We start from the raw sequence: 27,300 nt of genomic DNA, 5'->3' as shown, positions 1-27,300 counted from the left end.
CTTAAATGTGGAAATCTTAAATTCATTAAAGGCATTTCAGTCCATAAATGAGGGTGTGCTGAACTACCTTCTAACAGAATTCAGTATCTGAAGAGAATAACTCAGTGAGAAAATACAGGACATCATGTATCCAAATCATATAAAATGAAATTTTCTTCTTAAGTAGGTTTCAAATTATTTACACAACCTTGCAACTGTAGGATTATAGAACATAAATTTTCATCTTCATGGAAGATCATAAAAGGACTTTAGCTCTAAAAGCTAAAAATATATTTTGTGTCTTATAACATTATGTAAACACCAGACCATGCTGTCATTCCAAATTCATTTTGCTAATATACCTATTATTCTACCTAGGTAATTACAACAAAGGAACTGTTGGAAGATAAAACTTCCAAGTACAAAACAAGCTGCTAAAAATGTATAGGAAAAAATAAGGGGCTGAAACAAACTTCTAAGAATGGAACACAAAAATTCAGTTTAATTCTATGAACTGCTGGAATAAAACATTATGATCTATTTAGAACACTACCTCTCCTTTGATTATGCAATCTCTATTTACGTATATTTCTTAGAAGTTCCAATTCACTAAAGTGAAATTAATTTTAATTTTAAATATTTACTTCTGGTTCAGGATTAAATCAAAGGAAAAAAAATTTAAGAATGACACCACCAAATGTTAGCAAGAATGTGAAACAAGGATAACTCTCACACATAGCTGGTAGGAGTGTAAAAGTTACACAATCATTTTGGAAAACTGTTTTAGCAGTTACTTAAAAAGTTAAATATACATCTATTCTATGCCCTATCAATTCTATTACTAGGTTTTTGTCTAAAATAAAAGAGGAAGGGATTCTCCAAAATCCTACAGTAGGGTCACAGAGCTGTCCAGAAAGCAGTTTGAGATCACTCACCAGTTAAGTGAGGTTAAGGTTTAAGACGTAGAGGTTACAGAAGTAATCTGAAAAAGTTAGTCCAACTGCTATGCTGAAAAATAATTTTCTATTGATGTGGGGTGGCCAGGACTTTAAGTCCAGCACTACTGCTGTAGGGAGACTCCTAACAAGGCTATGAGAGCTATGGCATGAAGTCCTGAGCTTCTACAAGATAATGGAAATAAGATATAAGAAAATAATGGCTGGGTGAAACTTATTCATAAATTAGAGGAAACTGGTGCTGAGCTTAAAATGAAAGCAGTAATATTAGCTATAGATCAACTGGCAAAGGAGTCAATAATCCAGAAAAGAGCTAAAGGTCAAAAAGCATTAGGATAAATCCTAGACAAAAAGAACAACTAGGGCTTTAGGAACAGGGTTTATACTAATTTAGGTGCTCTGGTTTACAGTTGGGGTTGTGTTCTCTTTCCACTCACACCAGAAACCAAAGCCAAGCAAGGTAATATCTGTAAACATTTCCAATGTCTTTTAAATATATTTTAACATTTTAAAAACTAAAACATAAATGGTTTTAAGTTTTTACAAATATGATATTAGGGCTCTAAATCACTAATTACAGAGGAACATTCATTTATCACGTCAAAAAATAAAATACATTATTCTCTTCCCCTGGGGAGTTGTAGACAGAGAAGAAGTCAATGATTCTTGGCTGTAAACTCCACTTTCACTGTAAGAATTGATGTTTGGTGAGGAAGACAGAGACGGGGAGTCCATCGTCAAGTCGAGCTTCATTGCAGAATCAGGGCTTTCAAGATCTGAAGTACTGCCACTCAGTTTTGCTCTTTTCTTAGCTGCACTATTACGAAGGGACCTAAGAGAGCTATGCATCTAAGAAAAAATGAAAACAATAAACTTTATAACATAAATTCCTTATATTGGTAAAAGTTATCCTTAAATTTTAAACTCCATTAGCTATACCTAGCTAACCACTTCCCAATCCTGTACTAAAACAAGATGAATACTAATATATATGTATATAGTATCAATACACAGATTTTTATCACTTGGGTATTTATAAACAACCTACTGGGTTGAAAGCTCCTTGAGAGGAAGAATCTCAGCTATTGTTCATCATGGTATCTTCAGCACTGGGCACAATGACTAAATATATGGCATTAATTCAATTATTTAATAAATGAATCATTGAATCAGATGGTAGATATCAGAGTTGATGTCACAGAGGTACACCTGGTGTGCTAATGTGGCTTAGAAGCTAGCTCTGGGAGGTGATTCATGAAAATCAGTTTTCAAAAATTTGATGTTTACATCAAGCTTGCAAGTATTAAAATTACAGATCACTGTACGTAACTTCTGAAGCCAAATATTTTTAGAAATGCAGCTGGGCATGGTGGTGGACACGTGCAGTCTTAGCTATTTGTGAGGCTGAGGCACAAGAATCGCTTGAACCTGGGAGGCAAAGGTTGCAATGAGCCGAGATTGCACCATTGCACTCCAGTCTAGGCAACACAGCGAGACTCTGTTTCAAAAAAAAAAAAAAAAAGGAAATCCAGAATACAAATTGTTATGGCAAAATATATTAAGACTAGCAACAAAACTTTGAACAAATTAAGGAAAATAGAAACATACATAAACTGTTTTGTTTACATTTGATTCATAAGATTAATCATTTAATGAAAGTATCTGTTTTCAGTTAAAGCAAACATCCATAAATTTCTTAAGTCTTCATAGTTGGAAGGCAAACTCAACAACAACAAAAAACCCTTTAATGGATTTAGGGCAGTGTAGTACAGTGAAAAACTTAATGAACATAAAGTTAGGTGAACAGTGCTTGAATCCTAGTCCTACCACATACTTTCTGACCCTGAGCAAGACACATAACATCACTGAGCCTCTTCTGTAAAAACAAACACACACACAAACAAAAAACATAATAGATGTTGACTTGCTTCTTAACTCAGGGAGTTACTGTAAAGATTAAATGAACTAATGAAAATGAAAGTGTTTGATACATTATTAAGCACATTAAGCACATGAAAACTTATGCTTTTGTCAAAAGTCAACTCACACCAAAGAATATAAACAGTGACCCATTCAAAATAATAAATAGGAAGTGTCATATTAGCAACTATAAGGGAGGATAAGTAATTTTCAACAACTCTACTAGTTGATTTAATACTAGGGCCACTTCTCTATTAAAAGCGTGAAAAGTTGAATATCTAAAAGCAATGGTATCCTCCTGTATTTACTAATAATTATATAACAGAAACTCACCTTTCAATTACCCACTAAAAAAAGAACTATATTTAAGTTATTATAAAAACAAAGCAAAATTATGTAGGATCAGGTGAAATTTATAAGTTATGTAGGAAAATGTCTTTTCTATATGTTTCTTCCCTTCAAATGAATTCCCTTCCTAGCACTAGTAAAATACAAATGAGTTGGGAAAAAAAAAAAAGGAAAGATTTCACAAGCAGAAGTTGGGGTGATTACTTTAAATCATTAACAACCAACTTTGGTACTTTATAGGTTAGTTTTACATGTGTTTAACATAAAGACATATGTTAAAAATGAATATACAGTAATATTAACTCTATTTTATTGAGCAAATTATCATTACATGATTGATGCTTATACCTTAAAAACAGACTAAGACCATAAAATATCATAATTAAGTATTTGCATTTATATATGTAATATAAAACTTTTTTTTTAACCTGACTTGAAGCAAACTGAAATGATAAAAAGGAGGCATCTATGGAAATAGTACTCTGAAACCAAAGTAATACAGCAACCGCATTCCTTGTCTGATATAATAATTATGTACAGTTATCATACTGGTAACATTTTTATAGCACAAAGTGATCTAGGATTCAAAGATGAGTGTACAATATGATCTCAATTTCATAAAGATAAGTAAGCTTGCACAGAAACACAAAGGACAGGTTCAAATATGTTCATTGCAGTTCACTGTATGCAATTGCAAAAGACTGATCATAAGCCAAAATCAATGGTATAAACACACCGTAAGTAAATACACAAAAATAATATTAATATAAAAAGTACAAAAATACATAAGACATATATAAATGGTAATAGTGATTGCCTCTGGTGAAGAAGGAAGAGATGTTGAACTGGGGAGAGAACTATGCTATGTTTCATTTATTTAAATATAGGAAACAAATATGACAAACTGTTCACTGGAAGGGTCAGTACATGAGTGTATTGCTATATTATTATTCATACTTTTAATTTAAAAAGGAATAATGTATGCATAGAAAAAATACTTGAAGAAAATACAGTAGAGTGTTAACAGTAAATTATTCTGGTAGTGGGAACTGGCGTGATAAATTCCCTTCCTACTAATTCATGGTATTTTCCACATTTTCTATAATGAACATATTTTTAGAAATAAGATATTATAGGATAAAAAGAACTTGATTTTTCCTTAAATAGCAACTATATTATAGAAAATTGCAAATATTTTTAAGTCATTAAAAATATTTGGTTCTAACCTCTTCTTGATCCAAATCTTTATCCTTGAAATTTAATTCTGAAAGATCAATTGGAAGACTATCTTTTTCACACTTCCAAATATCATCAGGCTCTTTCTTTTTGTGTCCCACTGTGCTTAAATCAGCTTTATCAGGCAAAAGGCTTATTCCCCTTGGTATGGGAGGAACAGGCTTTGTCCCATTTAGACCTCGTCGGGAAGATGGCGATCTCACCAAGGCAGGTGTAAGCTGAACTGGAGGTTTTTCTTGAGAATTTTCTCCTGCATGAAAAATAGATATTTTACTTTTTCTTTTTCTAATTTTAGAGAAGAGGGAGTTATAGTCACAAGTGCTTAAAATACAATGTTTTAAAATAAAAAAAGCACATTATAGCTGGTCACTGGGGAGAACAAGCTGAATAAAGCCTCGGCTTTCGATACAATATTTGATCTTGTACAATAAACAAATACAGAAAGGAATTAATAGAAGAGAATCAAAGTATAGTGCTAAGAGAAAGTGATAAAATTGACTGAATATGCCATAAATTGAACACTGGACTTGTAGGGTAGTTTAAAGGTGAAACATCTTACATCAATGGCTGGGGAAAGAAAATCATGAGGGACGCAGAGGATTCCTTCAACATCTTTTTATTTTTATTTATTTATTTATTTTTTGAGACAGAGTCTCACTCTTGTAGCCCAGGCTGGAGTGCAGTGGTGCCACCTCAGCTCACTGCAACCTCCGCTTCCTGGGTTCAAGCGATTCTCCCGCCTCAGCCTCCCAAGTAGCTGGGATTACAGGCACGTGCCATCAGCCCGGCTAATTTTTGTATTTTTGGTAGAGATGGTGTTTCACCATACTGGCCAGGCTGGTCTCAAACTCCTGACCTCAAGGGATCCAACCACCTCGGCCTCCCAAAGTGCTACAGGCATGACCCACTACGCTCAGTCGACTTTTTATTTTAAGACTGAATTTGTCCTGAATGAACTTATATATGCTAATTTCATGATTTTTGGAGTGGGTTATTGTTAAGAAAAGAATATTTTAGTTTATAACAAATAATAAAAAATGTTTCAGCCAGGTGCAGTAGCTCACGCCTGTAATCCCAGCACTTTGGAGGTTGAGGCGGGTTGATCACCTGAGGTCGGGAGTTTGAGACCAGCCTCACCAACATGGAGAAACACCATCTCTACTAAAAATACAAAATTAGCCGGGCATGGTGGCGCATGCCTATAACCCCAGCTACTCAAGAGGCTGAGGCAGGAGAATCACTTGGAGGTGGAGGATGCCGTGAGCCAAGATCGCACCATTGCACTCCAGTCTGGGCAACAAGAGCGAAACTCCGTCTCAAAAAAAAAAAGTTTCAAATTAATTTTAACATACAATAAAAATTCAATAAATATTGAATAAATGAATATTAGGCATTAATTGCAATAAGCATATGAATGACATTTTATATTTGTAAAGCTAAAATTTGTTAGTAGGCTCTCAAACAACATATGTTGTTCATGTTCATTATAAAACATTACTATTTTCTGGCCCAGCACAGTGGCTCAAGCCTGTAATCCCAGCACTTTGGGAAGACAGGATGGGAGAAATCACTTGAGACCAGGAGTTTGAGAACAGCCTGGTCAACATAGTAGGACCCTATCTCTATTTACAAACAAACAAACAAAGAAAAGCATCATTATTTTCCTGGTTCTGAAAAGGATTTTTAAGTGACAATGTAAGAAATGAGAATTTCAATTGAATTTTATACATTTGATTTATTTAACACACTATTAAATATTTTCCTAAATATTTACTAAATTCAGACAGATAAAATGTAGTTTACTAGCTTTTAAAGATCTAACAGCCCTATGCATTAACTTCAAAGTACTAATTCAAACACAAATAAATTTGAACAAAGTATTGACTTTTACCATGATTTCTACCCGTAGGATCAGACGATTTTTGGCTGACAAGCTTCTTCTGTGGACTTGGCTTTGATAGTCCTTCGAAGCTTTTAAGAGGCCAGGAATTTGAGAAATTAACAGAATTATCTTGAGACTTCTTTGGAGATATAATAAGAGGAGATGTATGCTTTGGACTAGTTCGAGGTGATGAGACAGGATAGGATGGAAGGATGTAAGCTCCTGGACTTGGATTTTGACCATTTGAGGAAGTACACTCTGTTTGACTACCAAATGTTTGCTGTGTCTTACTGCCAAAATTGAGGCTAGCATACACTGTAATAAAACAAAAGATAATATATTATTTATGTATACACAGTTTAACAGTTAAAAGCTTTTTTGCTTTTTGCTTTTCCCATTCAGGTTTTCATCCCAATTGGCATGTATATTTTTGTATGGTATGAGGTAAAGGACTAATTTAATTTGTGTTATTCAAATATTCTGTATCTTCTAATTCAAAACTTCTTTATCCCATTAAAATATTGTACTAACATTTATAAATTAACTTTCTCCTTGTAATTTTATCAATTACATACATACATGCATGTATATGTATACATATACACACATGTCAGAGAAGTCTTGTTTCTTTAGTGAATTATTCTTTTTCTCATTACAATGATCCTCTCTAGAACTAAAAATGTTTTTAGTTTTGGTGTGCATATTTTCCCTATCATCAACATGTTTCTATTTGCTTTTCTCTGAACATTTGCCTAGTGTATCTTTTCCATGCTTTACTTTCTCTCAACCTATCTTGATGTATTTTAGGTAATGCTCTTAAAAAGATCACTTCAATGAAAAACTAAAAAAACAAGATCTGATCACCTCTGTCATTTAAGTTGTAAGTTCTGCCAATTTATACTTACGGAAACTATTCATACATTTGATTTTAATTCTACCATCTTATTTTGTACTATTTATTATTTTTTTCTTTATTACTTCTTCCTTGCCTTTTATTGATCTTTTTATTCTTCAACGAATATAAAAAGTCTATTTGTAATCTTTTAGGGGTTCCCTTAAGTTTTCCTTTAATATTTTAAAAAATGTTTTCCGTGACAAAATACCTAGCGTACGTATATTAATAAAGCAAACATTCTTCTGAGGACTTAAACAACTGTATATATTATATATCCTTTATTTTTTTAATTCATATCTGACATGGTTAAAATCTCTACTTATACCAAAATCTTATCTAGGTAGAGAGATATAGGAGATTTAGTCACAGATTTACATATAGAATTAAAACTTTCAGTTTCCTCATTTCAATTACAGTGCTCTATTAACAGGTTCTGATGCTTTCATGACAATGTCTCATATATTCCTAGAGATTTAAAAATATTTCCTTTCTATTTTTTTTTGAGATGGAGTCTCGCTCTGTCGCCCAGGCTGGAGTGCAGTGGCACGATCTCAGCTCACTGCAAGCTCTGCCTCCCGGGTTCACACCATTCTCCTGCTTCAGCCTCCCGAGTAGCTGGGATGATAGGTGCCCGCCACCATGTCCGGCTAGTTTTTTTGTAATTTTTAGTAGAGACGGGGTTTCACCGTGTTAGCCAGGATGGTCTCAATCTCTTGACCTCATGATCCACCCACCTTGGCCTCCCAAAGCACTAGGATTACAGGCGTGAGCCACCGCACACAGCCGAGATTTAAAAATATTTCTTATGAAGAAATCAAACATCCTATCATACTATGCATATACATAAAAACAATGCAATGCAACATACACCAAAATTTCCAACACCTGGTGTGGATCACTACAATATGTAAATTGGGATGCAAACATCTATATTGTTTTGCATCCATACCATAGGTCCTTCAAAGATCACAAGGGGAATATTAATTGAGATGGTAGTGGTTTTAATGTATAACCAAGTATTAAGTTAAATTCTAGAAAAACGTGGTATCCCTTTATACCAGCTTCTCTAATAACTATTCCAATAGAAAACCAGAGAGCCACTGTGCAATATGACTAAACACTAAGAGTGGATAGTCCTCAAAGGCAATGTAATTATTCAGGGATAGCCTAAACAGGAACAGGTTAAGTGGCACAGCAAGCTCTCTCTGATTATACCAATTATGAGTCCCAAAGATACTCAGGAGTCAAAATTTAGGAAATACCCACATTATTAAGAAAGATGGATTATTTTGTGATGCAGATAATACCACAAAGGATATCTTTAAGGAGTTATGTGGGTCTTTGGGGTGAGTGCAAAAAAGGGTAGTTAAAATGTTAGTGCTAAATACACGAAATCTTCTCTACTAATTTCAAATCATTATTTTTTCATAAATAAATAAGTATATCCCTATCACTCAAATTTTAGTAAAGGACATACAATAAAATTTAAAATACCTAAAGAAATACTTAATTTGATCCTACCTCTATCTAATAATTGTTAAAGCTGTTAATTAGCATGGACATTTAAGAACACCTTCAACCCCCAAATTCCTGACTGATAACCGGTCTCCAATCTTTCCTCTTCTGTATCTTATGTCTTATCTGAAAGGGTAGCTTTTAGGAAGTTACGGTTCCTAATAAGAGACATAATACATTCTAAATTGTCTTAAAATTTAAAACTGTTACGGAAAATAATTGTCATCTGCTAACACAACACTCTTTAATGGATAATGTTATTTTCAATGACTTGGTATTAAAATGCTCATCTTTCTGATGATTAGTGATGTTGAGCTTTTCATATACCTATTAGACATGTATATGTCTTCTTTGAGAAATGCCTACTCAGATCTTTTGCCCATTTTCACATTGTATTTTTGTTTTTTTGCTATTGAATTGTTTGAGTTCCTTATATATTCTGGTTATTGATCCCTCAACAGTGGAATCGTTTGCAAATATTTTCTCCCATTCTGTAAGCTGTATCTTCACTTTGTTGACTGTTTCCTTTGCCATGCAGAAGCTTTTTAGCTAAATGTGATCCCATTTGTTCATTTTTGCTTTGGTCACCTGTGCTTTTGAGGTCTTACTCAAGAAATCTTTGCCCAGACCAATGTCCTGAAGTATTTCACTAATGTTTTCTTCTAGCAGTTTTATAACGTCAGCTTACATTTAAGTCTTCAATAAATTTTGATTCGATTTTTGCATACAGTGAAAGGTAGAGGTCTAGTGCAAATCAAAACCACAATAAGATATCATGTCACTCCAGTTAAATAGCTTTTATCAAAAAGACAAAAAATAACAAATGGTGGCAAGGATGGCAACAAAAAGGAATGCTTGTACACTGCTGGTGGGAAGCTAAATTAGTACAGCCACTATAGAAAACAGCAAGGAAGTTCCTCAAAACACTAAAAATGTGCTGGGCATGGTGGCTTGCACCTGTAATCCTAGCACTCTGGGAGGCTGAGGCAGGATTGTTTGTACCCAGGAGATCGAGACTAGTCTGGGCAACATAGTAGAACCCCATCTCTGCAAAAAATTTAAAAATTAACCAGACATAGTAGTGTATATCTGTAGTCCCAGCTACTTGGGAGGCTGAGGTAGGAGGATCACTTGAGCCCGGGAGGTCGAGGCTGCAGTGAGCCATTGCACTCCAGCCTGGGCCACAGAGTGAGACCCTGCCTCAAAAAACTAAAAATACAACTACCATATGATCCAGCAATCCCACTGCTGGGCATATATCGAAAGAAGGAAATCAGTATATCAAAGAGGTATTGCACTTCCATGTTTATTGCAGCACTATTCACAATAGCCAAGTTATGGAATCAACCTAAGTGTCCATCGGCAGAAGAACAGATAAAGAAAATGTGGTACATATACACAATGGAGAACTATTGAGCCATATAAAGAATGAAATCCTGTCATTTGCAATAACCTAGATAGAAATGGAGGACATTATCTTAAGTGAAATAAGTCAGGCACAGAAAGACAAATATTGCATGTTCTCACTGCTATGTGGGAGCTAAAAAAGAAAAAAAATTAATTCCATGGAGGTAGAGAGCAGAATGATGGTATCCAGAGGCTGGCAAGGGCAGTGAGAAGTAGGTAATAAAGAGAAGGTAGTTAATGCGTACAAAAATAAAATAAGAGGCCGGGCACAGTGGCTCATGCCTATAATCCCAGTGCTTTGGGAGGCCGAGGCAGGTGGATCACCTGAGGTCAGGAGTTTGAGACCACCCTGATCAATATGGTGAAACTCTGTCTCTACTAAAAATACAAAAATTACCTGGGCGTGGTGGCGTGTACCTGTAGTCCCAGCTAGTCAGGAGGCTGAGACAGGAGAATTGCTCAAAACCCGGGGGCAGGGGCGGAGGTCGCAGTGAGCCGAGATCCTGCCATTACACTCCAGCCTGGGCGACAGAGCAAGACTCCATCTCAAAATAAATAAATAAATAAATAAAATAAAATAAGAAGGAGTAAGATCTAGTGCTCAGTATAGCACAATAAGGTGACTATAGTTAACAATACTTTATTATGTACTTCAAAATAACCACAGGAGTAGATTTGTAATGTTCCCAACACAAAGAAATGACAAATGTTTCAGGTGATGCATATCCTAAATAGCCTAATTTGATCATTACACATTGTATATCAAAATGTCACATGTCCCCCACAAATATGTACCACTATTATGTATATATCAAAGCAAATGCAATACTCATCTCCACCATGAGTATCTAAACTCTAATTTTAATCAGTTGTATTTATATAAAGATTATGAAAACTAATACTTTAGGGTAACAATTATGAAAAAAGTTATTAAAAATATAACAAAATCCTTTTATTTTTTGTGATGAGTATGAGTACACAAAATATCATATAAGTTAGTGTTGGAATCCCCACATAATATTTATAAGTCATTTGTTTCCAAGTAAATTTGGAACTTATACCTTTTTCTTGATGACTGCTAGTTGTCCCTAGGAATTGTAAGTCAGAACCCACACTGCCAGTTTTACCACATATTTGTGAAAATCCAAGTTGTGCACATTTCCCAGAAAGATTTGTTTGATGAGTCCCAGTAGTACCTTTTGAAGAAAGGAAGGGAGAAAACATAAAAGCAAAAGTTAACTTTATTTCATGAATACATTTTATTTCATAAATGTTGGTGTAATTTAGGTGGAAATAAATATAAGTGTTTAAGTACAGTGAGGTAGGCAGGCAAGAAAGGGATACAGCTTTTGATACTAGAAAATCAGATTAGTGGCAGGAATTAAAGGACAGAAGACAGACTAGTAAAGAACAGGGAAAAGACAGGTATGTTGAAGAATATCTGCAAAAGCAGTTTCTTCCTACACTCTTTCTCTCAGCATGGAACGTTTCTCCAGACCTGGCTTGCTTTCTTCCCAGTATTTGTAGTATACGCATTACCCAAAAAGCTCTATTACCAAACTCTTTTCCTTTCTACTTTACTTTTTTTGTGCAGTGGTGTGATCTTGGCTCACTGCAACCGCTGCAACCTCTTTTATTTTCTTTTCTAATATACTTCACAGTATTCACGCAGATTCTAAGCATATCCAGATATGTTTCCTGTTTCCCCTCCTGTGTCTGGTTAAGGTTATTCCTGGGAAGATGAATAAGTCTAAAGAAAAAAAGGTGGTAATGACTCCTCTGGCGTTTAGTTTATCCATCTATTAAATGAGCCCATCCTTTGTAGTTCTGAAACTGTATGATTAAAAAAAAATTCTCTCCCTATCATATCAAGCCTCTTTATCTTTCATATTCTGGATATCTTTTTATTTTATTTTATTTTTTTTAAGACAGGGTCTCACTCTTATTGCCCAGGCTGGAATGCGGTGGCGCAAACTTGGCTCACTGCAGCCTCGACCTCCCTGAGCTCAGGTGATCTTCCTGCCTCAGTTATTTAAGGCTGGTCTCGAACTCCTGATCTCAGGTGATCCGCCTGCCTTGGCCTCCCAAAGTGCTGGGATTACAGGCGTGAGCCACAGCGCCCAGCCTCTCCCTCCTTTAAAGTCAAGCTCAATCTCTTTTCTGCAGTTTTCTGAAACCACTTCAATACCTATGTTTTCCTTTCTTGAATCCTTACAGTATTTGTAATTCATATCATCCAATCAAGCATTAGCTTACATATTGTCTTATTTTCCAGTTGTTTAGAATCTGTACAATTAGGAAATGAGCTCCTCAATGGTACAGAGAAATCAAAATCAAAATCAAAACTGCCACAAACATAACTGGACATATTCTTGCATTTCTCCTTCTCTATTAAACAATAAAATAAACTATGCAGTCATTATGCCACTTCATTTTTGTATGAAAATACTATAGAATTTCACTGCATAAAGGTCTATAAATTCTCCTAGGGAACAATGTTTACTGAATAATATATCTAAAATCAAACCCAACAAATTTTGAAAACTGTTATCATTTAGATGTTAAATACATTTTTAAATCTATAACATAGTCAAATCTTTACCTTCTAAACCATTTTCCCTTCTAATAGGTATCACTTTGTCAACACACTACAATTTTTCTTATTACCTGGGTGCTATATCTTGAAATCCTAAACTATCATTTAGAACTCAAGCTCAACCTCCTCAACCTCTTTCTTCTTCTTCTTTTTTTTTTTTGAGACGGAGTCTCACTCTTGTAGCCCAGACTGGAGTGTAGTGGTGTGATCTCGGCATGAGACACAGCGCCCGGCCTCAACCTCTTTCTAAATGATATGGTCATTTATAAAGATGGGTATGTTGAAGAATATCCACAAAGGCAGTTTCTTCCTATGCTCTCCTTTTTCTTCTAAATGTTATGGTCAATGACAATGACCATTTCCTCTAAAGTACCGTAATATTTACTTTTGTAACACTTAGTCCATGTTCTCAGTTGCTCTGGCCAAAAATCCTTACAGCATTATTGACACTTCTTTCTCACATTCTATACCCAATCTACCAGCAAACTATATCAACTTTACCGCTGACATATAATCAGAATCCAATCACCTTTTTTTTTTTTTTTTTTTTTTTTTTTTGAGATGGAGTCTTGCTTTGTTGCCAGGCTGGAGTGCAGTGGTGCGATCTTGACTCACTGCAACCTCTGCCTCCCGGGTTGAAGAGATTCTCCTGCCTCAGCCTCTCGAGTAGTTGGGATTACAGGCATGCACCAACACGTCCAGCTAATTTTTGTATTTTTAGTAGAGACGGGGTTTCACCATGTTGGCAAGGATGGTCTCAGTCTCTTGACTGCGTGATCTGCCTGCATTGGCCCCCAAAGTGCTGGGATTACAGGCGTGAGCCACCGCGCCAAGCCAGAATCCAATCACTTCTTACCACATTCTTGCTATCCTGGTTAAAGCCTCCATCAACTCTAGCCACGATTACTACAACAGATTCTTAATCAGTCTTCCTGTTTTTGACCTTGCTCTCTGATACAGTTTGGCTTTGTGTCCCCACCCAAATCTCATGTCGAATTGGTAATCCCCAATGTTGGAGGTAGGTGAGGCCTGGTGGGAGGTGACTGGATCATGTGGCAGATTTCTCCTTTTGGAGCTGTTCTCATGATAGAGTTCTCACAAGATCTGATCGTTAAAAGCGTGTTGTACTTCCTCTTCACTCTCTTCCCCTTGCTCCCACCATGTAAGACGTGCTTGTTTCACCTTCGCCTTACGCCATGATTGTAAATTTCTTGAGGTTTCCCCAGAAGCAGAAGCCTGTGCAGCCCATAGAACCATGAGCCAATTAAACCTCTTTTCTTCATAAATTACCCAGTCTCAGGTATGTCTTTATGGCAGTGTGAAAACAGACTAATACACTTTCATCTATTTTAAAAATAAAATCCAAAATGAGCCTGGAAACAAGTGATGTCAATTCTTTCTTCAAAATGCTCCTCATTCAGAGTAAAAAGTAAAGTTCACTTATAAGTCCACTAGGCCTTAAATAAGCACCCCTATTATGTCTTTAATTTTCTACTTATTTTCCCCTCTCTTATTTCATTCCAGACATACTGGTCTCTTTGGTATTTCTCAAACATGTTCCCCACACACTTCTCTCTTAGTTACTTGTGCTGACTGTTCCCTCTTCCTGAAACTATTTATTCTCTTCTCCTGATATACAGTGGTTTGCTTCAAATATTCTTTCCTGAATATGGCCTTCTTTCGCTTTGTTTTCCTTCATAGCATTTATCACCAGATAACTTACTATGTCTTGTATTTATTTAATGTCTGTTCTCGTTCCTAAGTAGAATGCAAGCTCTATTAGGCAGACCTCCAGGACTTAGAAAAGCACCTTAATAAATATGGGTGATGTATTAAGCAAATATTGCCCTATATTAATACTTAAACGATTTCAGTGAGAAACCCTCCAGGGTTTTATGAGATAATAATGTCTAAGTGTCCATTCTTATCAGATCTTCAATAAATAACTTATTGAATCTGAACTGCCTACTAGATTAAAGTTCTATGAGTCATTGAATGCACTATGAAGTTAAGAGAAGTCTGTTAGTTCAACATGACCATCATCAGCAACTTGTACTTACCAGCAGCACATAAAGGAAGACAATCTGGGTTAAAATCCCGACTATTCTGAAATAAGTTTCTTGATACTCTTTTTCTGCTAAAACATAAATCATCATTGACTGGCATTCCTTGAGAAAGCTTTAATTTTGCAGATGGGATGAAATCATATGTTGAAAACTATAAGAACAGAATCATAAATTAGCAAATTTGTGTTAATTCTTCCTGGTAATAAATATGACAAAATAACTTAGATCCAATTATGAAATTCAGGTTAGAATAAATTTTAATTTATCAAATATATAATGATACAGATAAACATCCATATTTAGTCGGGTACACCAACAGTACTTTTCATTCCAGAAGAGAAATGCTAATTGTTTTTTCTTACTACTTCACCCCAACCCTTTACTGTTCCTTACCATCCTACAGCAGACTCTGGCAACAAGGAAGGAGAGAATACAAATGACAAAAACAATGATCTGACGGAGCAGCGTAACCCCTCAAACTATGCTATCTTTGTTTGAGTACTAGACAATAAGTGCCAGTTGAAGGTCACTGAACAAGCAAGCATTCTACTACACTGTTCTTACTGAGGCAAATCTATTATCCATATTCTGCAGCCTAAATGTCAATGTAAATAACATGGCAACCTATGTCATAGTTCCCTTAGGGTATTTTCTTACACTAGGTCTCTTAGTTAAAACCAGTAAATAATACTTTATATATGTATAGTACTTCATAGTTTCCAAGTCCTTTCTCATAAACCCCATATGATAGTTAAGGAACAAAGGTGCCAGGATACAATTTTGAAGTTGCACATAATCAGTTAAAGAACTAAATGAGAGCATGAATCAAATGTTCAAAATTCTTCAACAATGATGACCTCAATTGTCCCGGATCACTTCACATTCAACATGACTATAAAACTTTAAAAAAACTGAATGCATTGACAGGAAATTATGCTTCCTATATATTTATTTGGAGCTCATAGACACAATCAAATCTAGATGTGGTGAACTAAAAACCTTGTCAGTATATTTCTTTGTAAACTTTGCCAATTATCAAATGGCAAAATAAAATTAAAGGTAAGTCTATTATGCCTCAGGTACACGTTATTTATTATCAAATTTTGTGAAAAACCTATTACCTCCTTCAAAAACTAACCCAGAAATGATAAGTAACAAAATTAAGAATGCCCAGATGAGGCCACGTGCAGTAGCTCACACCTGTAATCACAGCACTTTGGAAGGCAGAGGCAGGTGGATCACTTGGGCCCAGGAATTCAAGATCAGCCTTGGCAACATAGTGAAATCCCATCTCTACAAAAAATACAAAAATTAGCCAGGCATGGTGGCATGTGCCTGTCGTCCCAACTAATCGGGAGGCTGAGGTAGGAGGATTACTTGAACCTGAAAGGTAGAGGCTGCAGTGGGCTGATATTGTGCCACTGCACTCCAGCCTGAGTGACTGACTGAGACCCTGTCTCAAAAAAAAGAATGCCCTCAGCTGGGCATGATGGCTCATGCCTATAATCCCAGCACTTTGAGAGGCCAAGGTGGGTGGGTCACTTGAGGTCAAGAGTTCAAGACCAGCCTGGCTAACATGGTGAAACCCCATCCATAGTAAAAATACAAAAATTAGCCAGGCATGGTAGCCTACACCTGTAGTCCTAGCTACTCGGGAGGCTGAGACAGAGGCTGAGGCAGGAGAACTGCTTGAACCCAGGAGACAGAGGTTGCGGTGAGCCAAGATCATGCCACTGCACTCCAGGCTGGGCAACAGAGTGAGACTCTGCCTCAAAAAAAACAGAAGAATGCCGTAATAAAAAAGGATTGACTTTACTGTCTCAAAACCCAGTTAACGTCCATGATTGATTATACAGTAGTCAGTATCAAAAGGATATAATGGAATAAAAACAAAACCAATTATAGTCAACTTCTGATTAGATATATTAAAAGATGATGTATTAATACAGCTAACATAGTGAGTAATCCAGAAATAATTCTACAGTATGGAATACATTTTATGTTAGATTTACTTTGTGATTAATTTCTGTTTAGCAAACAGATATTAGTATATAGGCCAGATACATACAACAACTGGTGGAGGTGGTAATGTTGATGAGGGTGGTGGTGTGTGCATATGTGAATGTGGCATTTTCAGAAATCTTCAGCAGTCAGGCAGAGATTAAGTTTTGCTATAGAAGATTGTGCATCTGAAAGCAGACTATAGGACATACCAATTAACATGAAAGTCCTCTTTAGGTCTCTCTTAAAAGTAAAAGATTTTCATTAGGGTAAGTTTTGATGGGACGAAACAATGAACGAAGAAAAAGTGGTTTAGAGTAAAAGAAAATAGAATTCATAAATTTTGAAAGAGTTGTGAGTTAACGTTACAAAATGTGAAGCAGTCTATTTAAAGCACCTGATTGATGACTCTCAGGAACATGGAACTGAATTTTCAACCTTTGCAGTTAATACCTAAAAATTTATTTAATTCCTTAGAGTTATAGTAAATTAAAACATTATAAAAAAGCAAGTTTCACATTTAATATTAATAATGGTTGGAAATTTACATAGTGTTATTTACTGTTTCAATCTTTTTTTGTTTTTGTTTTTGTTTTTGTTTTTGTTTTTGAGACAGGTTCTCACTCTGTTGCTCAGGCTGGAATGCAGTGGCATGATCATGGCTCACTGCAGCCGACCTTCCCCATCTCAGGTGATTTTCCCACCTCAGCCTCCCAAGTAGCTGGGACTATAGGCATGTGCCACCACACCCAGCTAATTTTATTTTTATTTTATTTATCTTTATTTTATTTTACTTTATTTTTTTATTTTTTGCCATGTTACCCAGGCTGAGCTCGAACCGTCAAGCTCAAATGATCTGCCTACCTTGGCCTCTCAAAGTGCTGAGATTACAGGCGTGAGCCACTACACACAGCCTATTATCTCTTAGTCTTTCTATTTGAATCCCTGCATATTTTTCATAAAAAGATTGCAAAAATTAGGCCGGGCATGGTGGCTCACGCCTGTAATCCCAGCACTTTGGGAGGCCCAGGCAGGCAGATCACGAGGTCAGGAGATCGAGACCATCCTGGCTAACACGGTGAAAACCCGTCTCTACTAAAAAATACAAAAATTAGTCGGGCGTGGTGGCAGGCGCCTGTAGTCCCAGCTACTCGGGAGGCTGAGACAGGAGAATGGCGTGAAGCCAGGAGGCGGAGCTTGCAGTGAGCCAGGATCGCGCCACTGCACTCCAGCCTGGGAGGCAGAGGGAGACTCATCTCAAAAAAAAAAAAAAAAAAAAAAAAAGATTACAAAAATTTACTCTTGTTTAATCCTCTGACCTAATGCATCCTATTGCAGCTTTTGGCAGGGAGTATTAAAGCATCTCAAAAATAGTTTTAATTCTATTTTGGTAGCAAAAAATTACCAGAAAAAGACCTTTTAATATCTAATTCTCTCAGAAATCACCTATACTCCTGGCTTTACTGAACTTGTACTAAACTTTATCTTGACCTCCAGTTTTTGAACCTTTCACCTTTTACCAGTTCTTTCTGGTTTCACCCAGACTCCACCCTTGCCCCTTAATGCTGGGCATTAAACAAGTTTATTCCCATTAACCACAGTTACCTTCTGTAAACATCACTGTATTTGTCTTTCAAATTATTTTCCTATGTACACTTTAGAAAAAATAGCTGTGATACTATATGTAAACTTTATATCCTGATTTTTGCACTTTACATTATAATAAAAGTACTTCCCATGCTGTTAAAACCCCTTATAAGTGCTATACTTTTTGGTGTTTTTTTTTTGGTTTGGTTTTTTTTTTTTTTTTTTTTTTTTTTTTTAACAGACAGGGTCTCACTATGTTCTCTTGGCTGGCCTAGAACTCATGGGCTCAAGGGTTTTGCCACTTCAGCTACCAAAGTATCTGGGACTATAGGATCACACCACCATGCCTGGCTATAAACTTTAATTACAAAAATAATAATTGCTTATTGTAAAAAATATAAAAAATACCAAAGTTATCAAAAGAAAAATTAAATTTAAAAAATGCAAACTATAGAAATAAGATATAAACTTAAATTATTCTTTGGGACCCTTCTCAGTAGAATCCTACTGATAAATCCTGTTAACAGGTCTTTTTCTATATGTAAACATTCTTCAATAAGCTATTTTAAAAAAAAAACAAAAATAAATCACATGATACTCTGGCACAGAGTAAATATGTAGACATCCTTCCATGTAAGACAATACATATCTGTTTATTTTAGACTCATAGTTCCTTACTGATGGACATTTTCTTTGCCACGACTTTTCACTATTACAATCTTGCAGTGAACATTGTTACACACATATCTTTGTGTATTATATTCCTATAGTATAAAAGTCCTAAAAACGGAACTATTGAGTCCAAGGACATAAATTATCTTTAATGGCTGCCTAATATTCCATTGACTAGATGTGCCACTCTCCTTTGATGGAACATTCAGATTGCTCCCCAGGCTTTTCTCAGATTGATAAGGAAAAAATTCCAATGAGGGAAATGGTACCTACATGGCTTAAGGTAGCAGTGCTGACAGAAGGAGACTGGCAGACTTTAGAAAGACTGTCACATATGCTACATAGCTAAAATAAAAAAAAAACAAAAACAAAAAACTAAGGCTGAGTGCAGTGGCTCATGCTTTTAATCTCAGCACTTTGAGAGGTGGAGGTGGGAGGATTATTTGAGCTCAGGAGTTTGAGACCAGCCTGGGCAACATGGCAAGACCCCATCTCTACAAAAAATAAAAAATTAACCAGGCCTGGTGTTGCATTCCGGTAGTCCCAGTAACTTAGGAGGCTGAGGTGGGAGGATCACTTGAGCCTGGGGGTCGAGGCTGCAGTGAGCCATAACTGTGCCACAGCACTCTAGCTTGGAAGACAGAGTGAGACCTTGTCTCCAAAAAAAAAAAAAAAAAAAAAAAGCCTCAGCTGGGTGTAGTGGCTCACACCTGTAATCCCTGCATTTTGGGAGGCTGAGGTGGGAGGGTCACTTGAGCCCAAGTCCAAGACCGACCTGGGCAACACAGTAAGACCCCATCTCAAAAACAAAAGAAAAAAACCCAAAGTGTTTTTTTTAAAATATCTGTAAACTGCCTACACAAAGGGAGAATACCCACACTGAACTCTCTGTAGCCGTCAGCTAACCACACCCATAAAATGTGCAAACAAAATACAGACTATTTAGCTATTTTGTGTGCAGTTTGTTTTCATACATGCTAAAAGTAAGGTAATCAGCTGAATCAAGGAAGAACCAGGACTGATCAAAGAGAGGAAAAAATATTGCAAACTGCATGCAAAATAACTAGTGTGTGAAATAACCAACTAAATGTCTCTGATTCTTTGTTTGACATTTATTTCTGTAGATTTCACTAATATATTGTCCCTCTGAGTCCAAACAGGAGAGTTAAACATGTGGCCTGAAAGTGCATCCTTTCTGAGACCTAGAGTCTTGAGTTCTCAGTTAAACTTTCCTCATATAAGTGACTGAGCAATGTGGCTCATGTGCCACAATATAATACACAAAGATATGTGTGCAACTATATTCTTGGCAAAGGCTGATTCTGACTGAGCACATGGACAATTGTGTTCACACAGACGGCAGCAGTGGGTGAAACTGGGTTTTGATTTTACGGTCTATTTGGTGATTTCTGCTGGATGATAGTATAGTCAGGTGGCACCTGGCAGGGAATCTAGAATCTGCTTTCCTTATTGTCTTTTCATTTATGTTTATGATATGGTTAAACTTTGTGTCCCTACCCAAATCTTGTCTTGAATTGTAATCCTCATAATCCCCACATATCAAGGGAGAGACTTGGTGGGAGGTGACTGGATCATGGGGACCATGTCCCCCATGCTGTTCTCATGATAGTGAATTCTCATGAGGCCTGATGGTCTTACAAGTGTCTGACAGTTCCTCTTTCACATATTCGCTCTCTCTCACCTGCTGCCATGTAAGATGTGCCTCTTCTCCTTCCACTATGATTGTAAGTTTCCTGAGGCCTCCCCAGCCATGCAAAACTGTGAGTCAATTAAACTTCTTTTCTTTATAAATTACCCAGTCTTGGGCAGTTCTTTATAGCAGTGTAAGAATGGACTATTATAGTTTATTGGTACTGAGGTAGTGAGGTACTGCTATAAAGACACTTGAAAATGTGGAAGTGACTTTGGAACTGGGTAACAGGCAGAGGCTAGAACAGTCTGGAGGGCTCAGAAGAAAACAGGAAGATGTGGAAAAGCCTGGAACTTCCTAGAGACTTGTGGTTTTGAACAAAATGCTGATTCTTTATAGTAGTATGAGAATGGACTAATACAGTTTTTTTTTTTTAATGTACTGATATAGGCTGCTCCTTTACTCTTCTCCTTCCAAAACTCAAGGCTTTTTCATGTTTGCTTATTATGGACCCTACCTGTCACTGTCTACAAAAATGGAATTCTATACCACAGAAGAAAGGAAACAAAATTTATAACATTCAATGATCAGTTTTCTTTGATTTCTACAAATAATTGAATAACTGCAAATTAACATTACTTCGGAACTCTAAAGCTAAAGAACGGATGGTGAAAACATTTATTTAATTATAAATTAGATGAAGTGAGTCAGAAAAATGTCTTCCAAAAGCCAAATAAAATAATATTTAACAGTTTTCCAAATCTTAGGCAAGTTCAGCATTTTAAAAACACAGAAAATTCAATGTCATTGTATAAGATATGGACATCGAAAAAAAGTGTCTTATCAAATTTTTGGGAATTACAACTATCATTATGTATTGCTGTTTAATGTGTTATCCCTAAATGGTAGATTAAAACAACAAACACTTGTTATCTCTTTTTCAGTGGAACAGGAATTTGGAAGCAGCTTAGCTGGTTGATTCTGGCTAAGTGGCTTAGCTGGATGTTTCAGGTTACTCTAAGGCTGCAATCAAAATGTTAGCTAGGCTGTTGTCAACTGAAGGCTTGACTGATACTTGAAAATCACTGAAGTTCACTCACGTGGTTACTGTCAGGAAGCCTCTGTTCCTTGCCATTTGGGCCTCCCAAGGGGCTACTCAAGACATGGCAGCTGGCTTCCTTCAGAGCAAGTCAAGTGAGCGAGAGCAACTGACATGGAAGCTGCAGTGCCTTTTTATGACCTAGTTTCTGAAATCACACACTATTACTTCTACTTCAGTTGTTAGAAATGAGCTATATTAAATCCAAACACACTCAGAGGGGAATTAGACTCCAACTCTTCAAAGGAAGAATCTCAAAGAATTTATGAAAACATATTTGAAACTACCACTCAACAATAATACTTCTGCTACAAGGAATATATGTTTTTGTCTCTTTAACTGATCAACATTCCTAATAGTTTGGTACCTGCTTCCATCTTAAATTCTGCTGGTTAATCAAAATTAGATTATCTATGTTATAAAAAAGAGAAAAATTTGTTATTTCATGAGAATGAAATATTTTTTGAGCACACAAATTGATATATACTGTCTACCCTATGGGCAGTATTAATAAATCAGGATAAAATTAGCTGGAACAAGCTGTTTCAATTGGCTCATAAACATCATATTAATACGTTAAGTGCTTATATCATATTGGATTAAATAAAACTCAAAAGCTTTTACGATTTTTTTTTATACTTTAAGTTCTAGGGTACATGTGCACAATGTGCAGGTTTGTTACATATGTATACATGTGCCATGTTGGTGTGCTGCACCCATTAACTCATCATTTACATTAGGTATATCTCCTAATGCTATCCCTCCCCCCTCCCCCCACCTCACAGCAGGCCCCAGTGTGTGATGTCCCCCTTCCTGTGTCCAAGTGTTCTCATTGTTCAATTGCTGCCTATGAGTGAGAACATGTGATGTTTGGTTTTTTGTCCTTGCGATAGTTTGCTGAGAATGATGGTTTCCAGCTTCATCCATGTCCCTACAAAGGACATGAACTCTTCATTTTTTATGGCTGCATAGTATTCCATGGTGTATATGTGCCACATTTTCTTAATCCAGTCTATCATTGTTGGACATTTGGGTTGGTTCCAAGTCTTTGCTATTGTGAATAGTGCCACAATAAACATACGTGTGCATGTGTCTTTATAGCAGCATGATTTATAGTCCTTTGGGTATATACCCAGTAATGGGATGGCTGGGTCAAATGGTATTTCCAGTTCTAGATCCCTGAGGAATCGCCACACTGACTTCCACAATGGTTGAACTAGTTTACAGTCCCACCAACAGTGTAAAAGTGTTCCTATTTCTCCACATCCTCTCCAGCACCTGTTGTTTCCTGACTTTTTAATGATTGCCATTCTAACTGGTGTGAGATGGTATCTCATTGTGGTTTTGATTTGCATTTCTCTGATGGCCAGTGATGAGAACATTTTTTCATGTGTCTGTGGGCTGCACAAATGTCTTCTTTTGAGAAGTGTCTGTTCATATCCTTTGCCCACTTGTTGATGGGGTTGTTTGTTTTATTCTTGTAAATTTGTTTGAGTTCTTTGTAGATTCTGGATATTAGCCCTTTGTCAGATGAGTAGATTGCAAAAATTTTCTCCATTCTGTAGGTTGCCTATTCACTCTGATAGTAGTTTCTTTTACTTTTTATGTATTTTAAATATATTGTCTCTTTAAGAAAAAAAAATGTTATGGCTGGGCACAGTGGCTCACACTTGTAATCCCAGCACTTTGGGAGGCCGAGGCGGGCAGATCACGAGGTCAGATCGAGACCATCCTGGCCAACATGGTGAAACCCCGTCTCTACTAAAAATACAAAAAATTAGCCGGGTGTGGTGGCAGGCTAAAACTAAACTGTGTTTTCACCTCAATTTACATTTTGGCAACAACATTTTTTTTTCTTTTTTCTTTCTTTTTTTTTTTTTTTGAGACAGAGTCTCGCTCTGTCGCCCAGGCTGGAGTGCAGTGGCGCAATCTCGGTTCACTGCAAGCTCGCCTCCTGGGTTCACACCATTCTTCTGCCTCAGCCTCCCGAGGAGCTAGGACTACAGGCACCCGCCACCACGCCCGGCTAATTTTTTGTATTTTTAGTAGAGATGGGGTTACACCGTGTTAGCCAGGATGTTCTCAATCTCCTGACCTCGTGATCTGCCCGCCTGGGCCTCCCAAAGTGCTGGGATTACAGGCTCGAGCCACCGCGCCCAGCCAACACAGGTTAGTTTTGAGTTTAAATACCTCAGTCACTTGGTAAAAGAACAAGAAAAAAAAAATTCTTAATAAACTTCAAAGTTTTAGTATCTGTAGTATCTGGCATATAATTGTTTAGAAAAAGTTGGGCCAGGAGTGGTGGCTCATGCCTGTAATCCCAGCACTTTGGAAGGCCAAGGAAGAAGGATCACTTGGGGCCAGCAGTTCAACACCAGCCTAGGCAACAGGCAACAGAGCAAGATCTTGTCTCTATGAAAAATTAAAAAATTAGCTGGGTATGTTGGCCCCAGCCTGTAGTCCTAGCTACTCGGGAGGCTGAGGTAGGGGGATCGCTCAAACCCAGGAGTTTGAGGTTGTAGTGAGCTATGATTATGCCACTACACTCCAGCATGAGCAACAGAGCAAGGCTCTGTCTCTAACAACAACAAAAAAGTTCACATAAGTCATCTAATTAAGATAACTCTTTGGACAAATTATACTTGCTTAAAAACAGTTATTTGTCTAGATTTTACCACCATGTAAGAATAATATTAGTATGATATAGTTGTGCAAGCTGTACCATAGGTTTTTCTCAGAAAAACCTAATTAACTTAAATTTCTTAAATTTCCTCTAATGGTTTCACAGATTGTATACATTAACAACACTACTTTCAAAATACAAAATTGTAAAATCATGTCTTCAACTAAGTTTTATAAGACAATACCTTTATAAAAATAGGTCAATTCTTATAATGCCATAAATCTTATAATGCTTAATATATCAGCTTCTATTGTAATTTTCAGACCCTTAGCTAACTTTAAGATTTTGGACTAAAATTGAATTAATGAAAACTCTTTAGATCCTGAACAATTTCTAATTAAGATAAAAATGCAAATCACTGATCATCAAACTTGTTTTTATAATTTACTCTTGTGTCTTATATTTATACATCATAGAATAACCAATGAATAGGTTAAAGCAGAGTTTCCCAACTCCTGGGCCATGGACTGCTACTGGTCCTGGCCTGTTAGGAACCCAGCCACACAGCAGGAGGTGAGCGGCGGGCAAGGGAGCAAAGCTTCAAATGTATTTACAGTAGCTCCCCATCACTGGGATTATTGCCTGAGCTCTGCCTCCTGTCAGATCAGCGGTGGTATTAGATTCTCATAGGAGCACAAACCCTATTGTGAACTGCATATGCAAGGAATCTAGGTTGCACACTCCTTCTAAGAATCTAACGTCTGATGATTTGAGGTGGAACAGGTTCATCCTGAAACCATCCCCCACCCCCTAGTCTATGGAAAAATTATCTTCCATGAAACTGGTCCCTGATTCCAAAAGGATTGGGGACTGCTGAGTTAAAGGATACATATATGCTTTGGGATGATGTTAACACACATGCTTATTTTTGCCGCTTAAAAAGGATCTGAAAGCCAGGCACAATGGCTCACGCCTGTTAATCCCAGCACTTTGGGAGGCCGAGACGGGCGGTTCACAAAGTCAGGAGTTCGAGACTAACTTGACCCACATTGTGAAACCTCGTCTCTACTAAAAATACAAAAATTAGCCAGGCGTGGTGGTCCACCCCTGTAATTCCAGCTACTCAGGAGGCTGAGGCAGGAGAATCACTTGAACCTGGGAGGCAGAGGTTGCAGTGAGCCAAGATTGCGCCACTGCACTCCAGCCTGGGTGACAGAGCGAGACTCCATCTCAGAAAAAAAAAAAGATAGTTTTGGTTACATGACTTTTGGTTTTCTCTGTGTCTGACAGGAAACAAAAGTTGGTTTATTTGGGTAAAGTTGTATTTAATACATAAAGCTGACATTTTCCTAGGTACAAAAGTTACAGGGAAATAGAAATATGTATACAAGGTAATCGATATGCTTTGCCCATTATTAAGGGAACTGGTATAGCTCTTTTTTCCATTTTCTTTTTTAATTATTATTTTTAATTATTTTTATTTTTTTTAGAGATGAGGTCTCACTTTGTCACCCAGGCTGGAGTGCAGTGGCACGATCATAGCTCACTGCACACCTGAACTCCTGGGCTCTATCGATCCTTCTACGTCAGCTTCCCAAGCAGCTGGGACTACAGGCACTCACTACCACGCCCAGCTAATTTATTTGCATTTTTTTTTTTTTAGAGACAGGGTCTCGTATATTGCCCAGGCCTCAAGTGATCCTCCAGCCTCAGCCTCACAAATTGCTGGGATTCCAGGCACAAGCCACTGCCTCTAGCTGTTACAGCTTTTTTAAGATGATAACAATAAATATAATATATACATTGTCTTATTTAATATACTTTTAAGGTTAATTATGTTTAAATTTATTTAAAATTTTTGAAATTTTAGATGTTATCTAATTCCATGTTTGTATGTGTCTAAAGATATATTAACAATCACAGAAATGGTGAGTTCACAAAAATGGATATATTTTTAATATTATTATTATTATGTACCATTAAAATATTTTCCATGTCTTTAGTCTGTTTTAAATCATTTTAACCGCTTTATTTCTTCTAAAAGATATGGATATTCTCACTTTCTTACTTTGCTTTAAATACTGTTACTCTTAATAAACATTGTAACATTTATCTGTAGACACATATCTCATAATCATATGTTAAGGTAATAACAAGTTTTGTCCTATAAACTCTTTCTTAAATTCAATTTCCACATGAAAAATAAAATAGCAATTAATATTCTTATTGTTCTCCAAATTTTAATTAGTTTACCCACTATTCATGCAAGGTGACTAAAACAAATGCCTCAAAAAACTTACATACCGGTAGTAGCTTCTACATTTTCTGCTGTAAAATATCCTGTTGCCAACAGTTCATTCTACATAGCTCTGACATAAGCAACATTTACACTAAGAGTAGATATGCTTTTGTGTCGTTTATGATTTTCACAAGCATAAAAAATAAAAGTTTTTAAAACTCTTCATGCATCACAATATAATTTTAAAAAGAAAATTAAATCTTTTCAGAAACAATCCAACATCCAAGGAAAATCTCAAGTTTTAGGATTAACCCATACCAAACACATTAGTACAATTTAATAATTTTAGTTTTTCTAATTTCTTATCAAATTTGTTATATTAACTGTTCTAAATCCCACATTCTTAAAATCTCTAATGTTCTATTTTTCATTTTTAATTGCCCCTTAGTTTAACAGAATCTGGAAGCCTTGTTCTCACAAAGTGGTTCACAGACCACCAGCATCAGCAATACCTAGGAGCTTATTTGACATATAGGCTCAGGCCCCAGTTTAGACAAACTAAATCAGAATCTGTATTTTAACAAGATCCTAAGGCAATTCATTTGCATATTAAAATTTGATAAACACT

General features: G+C 36.4%; 1 protein-coding gene across 9 annotated transcripts in view, besides 1 other annotated feature; it reads right to left on the bottom strand.

Annotated features, from left to right (window-relative positions):
- The window catches only part of TOGARAM1 (TOG array regulator of axonemal microtubules 1), a 112,242-nt gene that overhangs the window by 63,735 nt on the left and 21,207 nt on the right, over positions 1–27,300 (bottom strand). For 6 of the 9 annotated variants that reach the window (XR_943403.3, NM_001308120.2, XM_011536571.2 and 3 more), the window contains exons 2-6: positions 14,795–14,951; positions 11,200–11,334; positions 6,331–6,636; positions 4,430–4,689; positions 1,552–1,784 (exon numbers count right to left, since the gene is read on the bottom strand). Coding sequence is in view for 7 of the 9 variants with exons in the window: in NM_001308120.2 (NP_001295049.1) it covers positions 1,552–1,784; positions 4,430–4,689; positions 6,331–6,636; positions 11,200–11,334; positions 14,795–14,951 (1,091 nt within the window). In the remaining 2 variants the exon portion in view is untranslated. The remainder of the gene's footprint in view (positions 1–1,551; positions 1,785–4,429; positions 4,690–6,330; positions 6,637–11,199; positions 11,335–14,794; positions 14,952–27,300) is intronic. The other 3 variants (NR_131765.2, XM_017021100.2, XM_017021099.2) reach the window with 2 other exon arrangements.
- Positions 20,712–20,831: an enhancer, noted in NCBI's record as "active region_8297". NCBI's record gives its function as "activates an Ori minimal core promoter by ATAC-STARR-seq in GM12878 lymphoblastoid cells {active_cell/tissue: GM12878}" and the evidence as "EXISTENCE:reporter gene assay evidence [ECO:0000049][PMID:35858748]".

The sequence above is a fragment of the Homo sapiens genome, chromosome 14, assembly GCF_000001405.40.
Source record: "Homo sapiens chromosome 14, GRCh38.p14 Primary Assembly".
Classification (NCBI taxonomy): domain Eukaryota; kingdom Metazoa; phylum Chordata; class Mammalia; order Primates; family Hominidae; genus Homo; species Homo sapiens.
Note: the sequence above shows the minus strand (reverse complement) of the source record. Positions and strands in the feature narration are given on the sequence as shown.